General features: G+C 36.2%; 1 protein-coding gene across 2 annotated transcripts in view; it reads left to right on the forward strand.

The window, feature by feature from the left end:
• The window catches only part of UTRN (utrophin), a 567,700-nt gene that overhangs the window by 406,461 nt on the left and 148,013 nt on the right, over positions 1–13,226 (forward strand). For both annotated transcript variants that reach the window (NM_007124.3, NM_001375323.1), the window contains one exon: positions 8,292–8,448. In NM_007124.3, coding sequence (NP_009055.2) covers positions 8,292–8,448 — 157 coding nt within the window. The remainder of the gene's footprint in view (positions 1–8,291; positions 8,449–13,226) is intronic.

Here is a 13,226-nt window from a genome sequence, read left to right on the forward strand (position 1 = left end):
GCATTGTGATTTGCAATGATTTTCTATTATATTCACCACCTTGTCTATTTTATTTTATTTTTTAATTATTTATTATTTAGATTTCATGTTTATTTTATTTAACTTTTACTTTCAGTTCAGGGTACATGTACAGGTTTGTTATATAGGTAAACTAGTGTCATGGGGGTTTGTTGCACAGATTATTTCATCACTCAGGCATTCAGCCTAGTACCCTATAGTTATTTTTCCTGATCCTCTCCCTCCTCCCATCTTCCATCCTCTGATAGGCCCCAGTGTTTGTTGGTCTCCTCTATGTATCCAAGTGTTCTCATCATTTAGCTCCCACTTATAAGTGAAGACATGTGGTATTTGGTTTTCTGTTCCTGCATTAGTTTTCTCAGGATAATGGCCTCCAGCTTCATCCCTGTTCCTGCAAAGAACATGGTCTCGTTCTTTTTCATGGCTGCATAGTATTCCATGGTGTATATGTACCACAGTTTTTCAATCCAGTCTTATCATTGATGGGCATTTAAGTTGATTCCATGTTGTTGCTATTGTGCATAGTACTACAATGAACATACATATGCATGTGTCTTTATAATAGAATGATTTATATTCCTTTGGGTATATACCCAGTAATGGGATTGCTGGGTCAAATGGTATTTATGTTTTTAGGTCTTTGAGGAGTCGCCACACTGTCTTCTCAATAGATGAACTAATTTACACTCCAACCAACAGTGTAAAAGTGTTCCTTTTTCTCCTCAACCTTGTCAGCATCTGTTATATTTTGACTTTTTACTAATAGCCATTCTGACTGGTGTGAGATGGTATCTCATTGTGGTTTTGATTTGCATTTCTCTAATGATCAGTGATGTTGAAGGTTTTTTTTTAATATGCTTGTCAGCTGCATATATGTCTTCTTTTGAAAAGTGTCTGTTCATGTCCTTTGCCCACTTTTTATGGTGTTTGTTTTTTCCTTATAAATTTGTTTACATTCCTTATAGATGCTCAATATTAGACCTTTGTCAGATGCATAGTTTGCAACAATTTTTTCCCATTCTGTATGTTTACTCTGTTGATAGTTTCTTTTGCTGTGCAGAAGCTCTTTAGCTTAATTAGATCCCATTTATCAAATTTTTGCCTTTGTTGCAGTTGCTTTTGGTGTCTTCATCATGAAATTTTTGCCCATTCCTATGTGTAGAATGGTATTGCCTCAGTTGTCTTTCAGGGTTTTTTTTTTTATAGTTTTGGGTTTTACATTTAAGTATTTAATCCATTTTGAGTTTATTTTTCTATATGATATAAGGAAGAGGTCCAGTTTCAATGTTTTGCATATGGCTAGCCAGTTACCCAGCAACGTTTATTGAATAGGGAATCATTTCCCCATTGCTTATTTTTGTCAGCTTTGTCAAAGATCATATAGTTGTAGCCATACAGCCTTATTTCTGAGTTCTCTGTTCTGTTCCATTGGTCTATGTGTCTATTTTTATACCAGTACCGTGCTGTTTTGGTTACTATAGACCTGTAGTATAGTCTGAAGTCAGGTATCATGATGCCTCCAGCTTTATTCTTTTTGCTTAGGATTGCCTTGGCTATTGTGCTCTTTTTTGGTTTCATATGAATTTTAAAATAGTTTTCTCTAGTTCTGTGAAGAACATTATTGGTAGTTTAATAGGAATAGCATTGAATTTATAAGTTACTTTGGGCAGTATGGTCATTTTAATGATATTGATCCCTCCTATCCACGAGCATGGAATGTTTTTCTATTGGTTTGTGTTGTCTCTGATTTTTTTGGGCAGTGTTTTATAGTTCTCCTTGTAGAGATCTTTCCCTTCCCTGATTAGCTATACTCGTAAGTAATTTATTTTTTTGTGGCAGTTGTGAATGGGATTGTGTTCCTGCTTTGGCTCTTGGCTTGACTGTTGTTGATGTGTAGGAATGCTAGTGATTTTTGCACATTGATTTTTTTTATCCTGAGACGCTGCTGAAGTTGTTTATTAGCTTAAGGAGCTTTTGGGCTGAGACTATAAAGTTTTCTGGATATAGAATCTTGTCACCTGCAAACAGATATAGTTTGACTTCTCCTCTTTCTATTTGGTAGCCCTTTATTTCTTTCTCTTTCCTGATTGCCCTGGGCAGGACTTCCAATATTGTGTTGAAGGAGTGGTGAGAGAGGGCATCCTTGTCTTGTGCCAGTTTTCAAGGGGAATGCTTCCAGCTTTTGCCCATTCAGTATGTTGTTGGCTGTGGGGTGTTGTAGATGGTTCTTAGTATTTAGAGGTATGTTCCTTCAGTATCTAGTTCGTTGAGAATTTTTAACCTAAGGGGTGTTGAATTTTGTTGAAAGCCTTTTCTGCATGTATTGAGATAATCATGTGGTTTTTGTCTTGTTCTGTTTATGTGAAGAATCACATTTATTGATTTGTATATGTTGAACCAACCTTGCATCCTAGGGATAAAGCCTACTTGATTGTGGTGGATTAGCTTTTTCATGTGCTGCTGGATTCGGTTTGCCAGTGTTTTGTTGAGGATTTTTGAATTGATGTTCATCAAGGATATTAGCCTGAAGTTTTTTTGGTGGTGGTTGTGTTTCTGGCAGGTTTTGGTATCAGGATGATGCTGGCCTCAAATAATGAGTTAGGGAGGAGTTCTTCCTCCTCAATTTTGTGGAACAGTTTCATTAGGAATGGTATCAACTCTTCTTTGTACATCTGGTAGAATTCAGCTATGAATCCATCTGGTCCTGGGCTTTTTTTTGGGTGGTAAGCTATTTATTACTGACTCAATTTCAGAGCTCATTATTGGGCTGTTCAGGGATTCAATCTTTTCTTGGTTCAGTCCTGGGAGAATGTATGTGTCCAGGAATTTATCCATTTCTTCTAGATTTTCTAGTTTATGTGCATAGAGGTGTTCATAATATTCTCTGATGGTTGTATTTTTGTGGGGTCAGTGGTGATATCCCTCTTGTCATTTCTGATTGCATTTATTTGAGTCTTCTCTCTTTTCTTCTTTATTAGTCTTGCTAGCAGTCTATCTATTTTATTTCATTTTTTTTCAAAAACCCAGCTCCTGGATAAGTTGATCTTTTGAATGGTTTTTTTGTGTCTCAGTCTCCTACAGTTCTGCTCTGATATCACCATGCCTATTTTAAAAGATTTTGATCCTTTTTAGTCCCCAAATTCTCTCTCTGCAGGTGGCCTTTTTTTTTTTTTTGAGAGTGAGGCTATCTGATTGATACTCTTTATGCTACTTGGAGTATTTAATATGCATTGGTTCTGTATTTCACATTATGCTTTTATTGCGCTAAAGTTGATATTAAAGTTTTATAGCATAAAATGTCATGGCAGGGAACATTTGCTCTAATTTATCATAATTTTTTAAAAAGAAAATGTCTGCTAAGATCATAATAACAGCTAATATTTATATGCTAGATCTACCCTAAGTGTTTTACAGGTATTAACTTCTTTGACCATGGTGTGGCCATTGGAACAATGTAATAATATGTGGCTCAATACCATAGGTTAATATCTTAAACGTTATTTTTCATTCTCTTTGGATAGCCATGATTAAACTTTTTTTTTTTTTTTGAGACAGAGTCTCACTGTGTTGCCAGGGCTGGAGTGCAGTGGCATGATCTCAGCTCATTGCAACCTCCGCCTCCTGGGTTCAAGCGATTCTCCTGCCTCAGCCTCCCAAGTAGCTGGGATTACAGGCACCCGCCATTACGCCCAGCTAATTTTTTGTATTTTTAGTAGAGACGGGGTTTCACCGTGTTGGCCAGGCTGCTCTTGAACTCCTGACCTTGTGATTCACCCGCCTCAGCCTCCCAAAGTGCTGGGATTACAGGCGTGAGCCACTGCGCTCAGCCTAAACTTTTTATATGCTAAAATCCAACATGCTACATCTCCTTTAGCATCTAAAACAATACATACAATGATAAATTTCACTTCAATCTGTACAAGAGAAGAATGCTAATGATTTGAAACGTCAGCTAGAAGACAGGCTGTCAGGAACTTTTATTATATTTTTTACTCACTGGAAAAATATGAATTGGAAATACACTAATAAGTTCTCTGCTGTGGATAACATGGGTTTAAATTTTCATGTTAAACTTATTTAATTTGAGATTGTCTTAATTAAATATCCATTTATCAGCATAATGATGTTTAATATAGATCTTTATTAACATGGTTTCAAAGGCCAGTAAAATTGTCAAATCTAATGAAAACAGAGTTCAAAGATAAAATTCTATCTTCCCTTTCTTTTATGAGTCTATTAAAAATTCAGGGCACCTTTTTAAAAGCCCGTAGAGAAGATTAACCTTTAACATCATCATTTAAATCTAATGTTACCACATTTTACAGTGTCATTGACACTATGTTTAGCCTTAGATAGTTGCTTTTCCTAACCATATTGTGAAACTACTAAATTTTTTTTTTTTCCAAATCTAATAGAGGAACTGCTCTCTTTTTTTTCTGGTTTCTCTAGTGTAGCACATTCTAATAGAACTTTCTCCAATGATAGAAATTATCTATATCTACACTGGTTAATACAATTGCTGCTAGCCATATGTGGCCTAATGAGCACTTGAAATGTGACCAGTGCAACTGATAATCTGAATTTCAAAATTTACTCATTTTATTTATCCTAAATTAAAATTTAAATAGCCACATGCTGCTGATGTCTACTGTATTGGAATCACGGCTTTGGTGTTCTTTTCAGCACCGTCAGACTGAATTCTGAAGACTTGACTCTTTTCTCCTAATATGTCTTAATTCCTTTCCTGGGAGTAGGAACAATCTTTTAAAGTTACTTGTTGTTCTTGGACTAATAAAGGTATTTTCTTTCATTATAACCCAATTTATAGTTTGGAGATTTTACCATAAACCAAAATATATATATATACTTTTGTAGTAAGAATACCAAATTGGACATTTGATTCTGGGTAGTCATTACACAACAGAGGATGGGATATCTGCCAGAGTGGGTGCTCCGTAAATGTTTACTTGTGCTGAGTAAATGAAAAACTGTATTTTATTTTAACCAATGCTCCTTCTCACACTTACTCACACTATTTCCTTTTATATCTGTACACTGGGAGAAGGAATAATAACTTGCTTGAAGATACAGTTTGTTTGAAAGTTGGAGGCTTTTGCTGATTTAAAACAGATACTGGTTTGTAGTTACTTCCATAATTCCTTTCTACTGTGCTTAAATGATGAAGTACCATTTTTATGGGTCTTTACCTTCTAACATGTTTTTGCATTACATTTTTTAAGAATAACTGGTCACTTAAAAATACTTATAGAGTTGTAAAAAATGATTCAATTTTAAAAGGAGTAACTTGCGTAAAAGATATTCTGTAGTAGACATCATCCTAGGTTGATAATACAGTCAATAAAAGTGTTTATTGCTTTGTACATATCAAAGTACTAAAGGAGTGAACTGAAGCAGCTGAGATGTTAGAATAAGTCAATTGTCTAAAAATATGAATGCCCACAGATATGTTTGATAAAGAAATGTTTTATGTGAAGATTTTGAAAATCTGGTTGATCACTAGTTATCAATAGTCTTAGAGAAATTTAAGTTTTAAAATGCTTATAGGATAATTGAGAAAGTACCACTAAGCTGAACGCAAATTTAAAGTTTCTTCTTACAAAGCATTCGACCTGTTGCCCAAGAAAAGGCTTTCATCTTTCAAGATGAAAGAATTAAAATGAAACTAGAACACTGAAGGCTGCTACAGAAGCATGCATTTATTTGAGCATATGGTAGTAATCCACTAAACACATAGTTATAATCTATTTGAGAATAACCAGAACAGATTTGCCAGACAAAGATTCTGGCAGATCAACTTGCTTTTTACTATGAAAAATCAAAGATGCAGAGAAGCACACATATACCAATGTTTTCTTTTTGATTTCAAAGCCACTTCAGCATTTCTTTTAAAAAGTATTGTCTTCATCCTCATAATTAATAGATAGTTTTTCAGATTCTAAATACTGTAAGTTTCAGTAATCAGTTTCATTATTTCTGTGCAGTCAAAGAAGACTGCATTGGAAAATATGTTTGTGTGCATTTCAATACAATAAGTGTTTGCAACTCAATTTCAAAGGAATATAATGTGTGATTTAGTTATTGATTATTGAGTTAAACTACAGACGTTGAAGATGCAGGATCAAATCATCTGAAATAAAAGGGCAGGGAACACGTATAAATGTTTTGCACACGGAGACACTCAAGTGCTTCTTGATTGAGGACATCTGATTTCTAGCTGGTTTTGCAATTAAAAATATTGGAAAGAAATTGCAGTAGCTCAGTCAAATTTATTTGCTGCAAAATGGCTTAGAACTACAGAGAATTTTCAGTTAATATAATTGAAATTATTTAGTTCTGCTCTGTGACAAGTGAAATTATTAGTTATCAGGGAAAGGTAATTACATATTTGGCCTAAAGTTAATCAATATGAACACAGAAAAGCTGGAGCTCAAGCAGAATCAGGACCTTGTTAACCACAGTTTTGTAAAATGAGTTCAATTGTAGCACCTGTGGAATAAATAGAACTGATCATAAATACAAGAAAATAAATTTTCTAATCATACTGTTCTCAGAGATTTACAAAATGCTTTGAACTTCGTTCTGTATTTAAACTTTTTTTATTATTTCACACAGCGTTTTTTAATCAGCATATGCTGATGAAAGGCAGACGTGTGCCTTGTTACACCTCTAAACCTCAAAGATCATGGGCAGTCACAGTAATTCCATTTCCCCAAGTTAAGGCATAAGCCCGCATTCACAGTCTGCCCTCTGGGATGATGCAGGATTGAGTCAAGCCCAGTTCGATTCCTTGAGTCGCTGGAGTTGTTTCTGACTGATCCATATTTTCAAATCCAGCCCACCAGTGGGCCTGAGGCTGGATAAGTGGGCTTTCACCAGGGCCCTAACAAGAGCAAAAAAGGAACATGTGCATAGATTTATACTCCTATTCTCAAGGGCCTTTGCTCTTATTGGAACCTTAACCATATCAAAATGTATTTCCTAAACATATCTGTGATTATGGAGTTCATAATCTAAGAATCTGAAGGTGCATTTCTGTGTTAAATGCAGAAATTATTATTGAAACAAAGACCTCACCTTTAAATGAGAGTATAAAGTACTGCAGTGACTTTCGCCCAACTGTTCTCTATTCACACTGGTCATTTGTCACTAGACATTGGTCAACCTTAAGCCAAATAGTATCCTGTCGAAGCAATGCCTGATTATTTTCCAACTTTTTGAAGTAAACATTGCTATTGTTCTGCTTTTTGGTTACAACAGAAGGAGTTTTTGGTTACAAGAGAAAGTAACACATCAGTAATTTCCATTCCTAAAAAAGTTAATCAAGACCAGGCGCGGTGGCTCACACCTGTAATCCCAGCACTTTGGGAGTCCCTGGCCGGTGGATCATGAGGTCAGGAGTTTCAGACCAGGCTGAACAACATGGTGAAATCCCGTCTCTACTAAAAATACGAAAATTAACCGGGCATGGTGGCACATGCCTGTAATTCCAGCTGTATTCAGGAGGCTGAGGCAGCAGAATAGTTTGAACCCAGGAGGCAGAGGTCGCAGTGAGCCGAGATTGCGCCACTGCACTCCAGCCTGGGTGACAGAGCAATACTCTGTCTCAAAAAAAAAAATAATAATAATAATTAGTCAGTGGTTTTTTTTTTTTTTTTTTTTTTTTTTTGGAAAGAAAAATACTATGAGTCTGTTGTAAATCCTTAAATGGCGTAAAAATAGCTAAAATTAGGTATTTACTGTGCTCTTAGTGGTTATTTTCCTCTCTCTCTCTCCATGTATAGAGATAAAATGAGAAAAAAATATATTTGGATGTGCGTATATACTATACATAAACTATCAAAACTTGGTTTATAATTGTACATTCTATCACGGACATCCTTCTTGAAAGCCTTCGTTTTGTATAGGTCTGTGTTTTAAATTTTGATAGTTATTACCAATAAATCCTCTGAATATTATAGCCTATTCAAAATAGCTGTTTCTTACAGGAAATGGATATATGTGTGTATACATATGTATAAATATATATACTTATGTAATATATGTATTGTATATATGTATATCATACATATATATGTATATATAGTATATTATAAATACATATATATATGTATTTACAAGGAGTCAGTCTCTTTTGTGGAAGTAAACATTACTTGGTCAGATAAGATTATTATGCTAAAGGAAGGTAGATAATTTTGTGAATGTAATTTGCATTTCTAAATGTGGTTATTATTATTATTATTATCTCTCAACAGGGCCCATTTGGAGGCCAGCGCTGAGAAGTGGAACAGGTTGCTGATGTCCTTAGAAGAACTGATCAAATGGCTGAATATGAAAGATGAAGAGCTTAAGAAACAAATGCCTATTGGAGGAGATGTTCCAGCCTTACAGCTCCAGTATGACCATTGTAAGGTAAGTGGATAACCTATAGTGAGTCGCTTAATTCAAATTCTAGTGAGGTAGATATTTGAAATACAATTATAGATAAGTATCAGAGTTGAACCAATTATCACAGGATTCCCCCCCCCACCACCGTCTGCTTTTAGTTGCCAGTAGACATTTAAAGTGCATACATTGTTTCCATTTGTATTATCTTCACATTTAACTAAATTTTTTTCAAACACTACCAGTATCTGAAGTATAATATTGCTTTTAGCTTATTATGAAGTTTATCTAAATTTCTAATAGGTTTTAGAATCATAATATATTGAGGTTTTGGGTTTTTTTTGTTTTTTGTTTGTTTGTTTGTTTGTTTTACCAAGTTTCACTCTTGTTGCCCAGGCTGGAGTACAATGGCATGATCTCGGCTCACTGCAGCCTCTGCTTCCTGGGTTCAAGCGATTCTCCTGCCTCAGTCTCCCAAGTAGCTGGGACTACAGGTGCCTGCCATCACACCCAACTAACTTTGTTTTTTTTTTTTAAGATGGAGTCTTGCTCTGTCACCCAGGTTGGAGTGCAGTGGCATGATCACAGCTCACTGCAACCTCTGCCTCCCAGGTTCAAGTGATTCTCCTGCCTCAGCCTCCCAAGTAGCTGGGACTACAGGCACCTGCAACCACCCCCAGCTAATTTTGTATTTTGTATTTTTTTTTTTAGATGGAGTCTCGCTCTGTTGCCCAGGCTGGAGTGCAGTGGCATGATCTCAGCTCACTGCAACCTTCACCTCCTGGGTCCAAGAGATTCTCCTGCCTCAGCCTCCCAAGTAGCTGGGACTACAGGCGCATGCCACCATGCCCGGCTAATTTTTGTATTTTTACTAGAGACGGGATTTCACCATGTTGGTCAGGCTGGTCTCGAACTCCTGACCTCAGGTGATCTGTCTTCCTCGGCCTCCCAAAGTGCTGGGATTACAGGCATGAGCCACCTTACCCGACCTGAGAAAATTTTTAAACTACAAATTAATCTTAAATTCAAAAGGCATCGAGTCATAAGGAATTACAAACTATCTTGTTTGTGTTTAATAAAAGTGAAAAATAAGGACTTGTAGTAAAAAAAAAAAAAAGTAATGCAGATGAAGACCATACTATTTAAAATCATTTTATGTGTTTTACTTTTCTGAGCCAAGCCTTTTCTTTGATTACATTTTTATACTGCTCAAATTTCTGTTCCTATGCAAATGTATACTTTTACTCTGATCAGCCAAAAGATATGCTGAAATGTTATCAACTGACACATTAATCCTTAGATCCTTGTGTGATTAAATTTGTGCCTTGTTCACTTTCCATTGATTTCTTTAATATCTCTTTATGCCCATTTTCTTGTATATACATATCATCTTATTTTATTGTATTTTTCACTCCTCCCATGTAATGAAAGTTCTCATTCTAAATCTGGTCATTTTAAGGTGACACTATGATTCTATTTCCATTTTAAAAATGACAAACACGAATGCACACATCTCCTAAAGGAAAATGTCATTTATGTAATAAGTTGCTTTAATACAAAATGATAAGACCCTGAAATTTATTTATTTGCTTTTTGAACCCTTGTGACTAGATTATCAAAATTACCATTTGGGTGTATTTTTTTTCTTTCTACTCGAAGCAGGAATATGATAGAGAAATAGCTCCAAGATAAGAAAAAGGAAAACACTGTTGATGTATGATATGCAAGATAATAATAATAATAGAAGATTTAAAATGACCGATTTAAGAAAATCCTATTCTCTCCTAACTTTTTCTAACTTTTACTTCTATTAATTATTCATACAGTAGTCCCTTTTTGTGGGTTACAGTATTAGGGATGAAACAGAATAACACAAAGCTCTTCTAATAGATGTGCTCTGTAAGGAATACAAGCTGCTTATGGCCATATGCTAATAGTGTTTACCGAAATCCACATCTTGAGGTATGAAATGATTTTCCTCTTCTGGCCTTAGCACATAAAGTATGTATCAGCCTCTCAGTCTGTCCTGGCTGTATTTTGGCCTCCCTCCCAGCAAGGTAACCTGGATTTAGGTTGTGTTTTGCTCTATCTTAGAGCACTGCAGGCAGTTGCTCTGCTTCAGTCCTTGAGACCTAAGCCTTTAGGTAATGAAGATAATACTGATAATGATGGTAATACAATTGGTTCATTTATTCAGCAAGTATTTATTGAGTGCCTAATATGAACCAGCATATTCTGGTCACTGGTGACTCAATAATGAACAAAACCAGGTTCTTACCTGATTGTGAGAGATGGACACTAGACAAATAGGCAATAAATATATATGTCCTACGGTAATAACAAAAATAAAGCAAGGTCAAGAAGATACAGGAGGATGTGGGATTATAGGCCAAGGTGCTATTTTATATGGAGAAGGTCAGGAAAGTATCACAAATTGGGTGATTTTTGAACAGAGACCTGGAGTGATGTAGTAAGCACTTAGCAACCCCTCTTGAAAGTAGAACATTTAGGGAAAGGAGGCAGAGAGCACAAAGGCCACAGAGCCTGCAATGTTTGGGGCATATTTGAGGAATAGCTGGGAGACCAATATGTTTGAAAAAATTTAGCCAAATATGGTAGATAGGAGATGAAGCTGGGGTGGCGGGTGGGAGAAAGGGATTCAGATCATTTAGGTCCTTGAATATTCTTTCTTAAGGACTTTGGATTTTACTCAATGAGAGAGGAAGCCATGGAAGATGTAGGTATCTATAGTGCTGTGATCTAATATTATGTAATAATATAGGTAAATTATGAAGAGTAGAATATAGAGGAGTTCAGCACTATTTCAGTAACCCAAGTGGTGGTGAATTGGAAAAGGGTATAGCAGGAGAGATGATGAAGAGTAACTGCTTTCTGAAGACATTTGGAAAGAATCAACAAAATTTGCTGATGGATTAGATGTGTGGAATGAGAGAAGAAGAGCCAAAGATGTCAGAAGTCAAAGATTTTTGGACAAAGCAAATAGAAAATGGAAGTACCTTTTAGAGAGATAAGAAAACTGCTGGAGGAGCAGTCTGGGAAGGAAATGTAAGAGCTCGATGTTTGACATGTTAAGCTTATAGATGTTTAAGCTGTTGGATATATAAATCTGAAGTTAGAAGAAAGATCAGGATTAGAGATGAGTTAGAAGAAAGATCAGGATTAGAGATCAAAATTGTCAGCCTGTATATCAGCCCTGGGATTGGATGAGATCACCTATAGGGAGAGATTGTATGTGATTGTACCAAGGGAAAAAAAATATTCTAAGAAATGAGCCCTGAGGAGCCACAACTTCAGAGGTTGGGAAAATGAGGAAACTGAGAAGGAAGAGCCAGAAGGCTAGAAGAACCAAGAGAGAACAGAGTCCAGGATGCCAAAGGAGGAAAGTGTGTTATGAAGGAGGGCGTGATCACAAGGATCAAATATTGCTGAGAGGTTAAATAAGATGAGGACAGAAAATTAATCATCTCGAGACCATCTTGTTGACCTTGGACAAGAGGTGTTACAGTGGCATGATGGAGTTGGAAGCATGATTGGAGTAGATTCAAGAGAGAATATGAACAAAAGTACAGAAAACCATTTTAAGGACTTTTACAACAAAGGTAACAGAAAAATCAGATAGTAGCTGAAGAAAGAATGTAGGGTCAAGTAGTGGTTTTATAACTCATTGCTGAGTAGTGAATTATGAAATAATATATTAATATTATTTTATTATTCAGCATGTTCTATGCTGGTAAGAATGATTCTGTGAAGTGGGAAGAATCAGTGATGCAGGAGAGAGGATACCAGCTCAAACAGTGGCAGGATGCAATCCATTGCACAAGTGGAGCAGTGGGTCTTAGGTCTGTCTGACTCCAAATATATTCATCATCCATTTAAAACCTACTTACCGAATAACTTTTATGTCCTAGCACCATTCTAAGCACTGGAGATATATCCTCACATTTTTGTTTTTGTTTTTACTTGAGTCTGTTCCCTCTTTTTTGCTCTATTATGTCAGTTTCCTAGCTTAGTTTATGAAAGAATATGAAGCCACCTTTTTCACCCTATCTTTTTCTTTAGCTGCCTTCCAAAAATGGACAATAAAGAAATGAATATTAACATATTATTCTCAAGAACTAATATTTTAGTGTATAATGCTAGCTTTCTGCTAAATTAGTACTCGGTATAGATTAGCTGAATAAGTTGATTCACAGAATTTATACAAAAAACCCTCCAGTTATCTGCTTCCTCTAGAACATGACACAGTACAGAAAGGTGTGCTGGGTTTGGGGTAAGCATTCTTTGTAGGTCATTGCTGAAGTCACAGGGCTGGAGGATTCCTTGATTCCTTCCAGGGTAGCCATCATGTATTAATAAGTAAGTTAGTTGCCATCATGTTTGACATTACCCTTACAGAAAAGAAAAACTCGAGGGAAGAAATAAAAGCTTAAAAGATGAATTTTCTGGCTGGGCGTGGTGGCTCACACCTGTAATCCTAGCACTTTGGGAGGCTAAGGCAGGCGGATCATGAGGTCAAGAGATCAAGACCTTCCTGGCCAACATGGTGAAACCCCGCCCCTACTAAAAATACAAAAATTAGCTGGGTGTGGTGACGTGCGCCTGTAGTCCCAGCTATTTGGGAGGCTGAAGCAGGAGAATTGCTGGAACCCAGGAGGCAGAGGTTGCAGTGAGCCAAGATCACGCCACTGCACTCCAGCCTGGCGACACAGTGAGACTCCATCTCAAAAACAAACAAAAAAACCCAAAAACATGAATTCTTCATATTTTCTTTATAGGTTGTGACA

Source organism: Homo sapiens, chromosome 6 (genome assembly GCF_000001405.40).
Source record: "Homo sapiens chromosome 6, GRCh38.p14 Primary Assembly".
In the NCBI taxonomy this organism is placed as follows: Eukaryota; Metazoa; Chordata; class Mammalia; order Primates; family Hominidae; genus Homo; species Homo sapiens.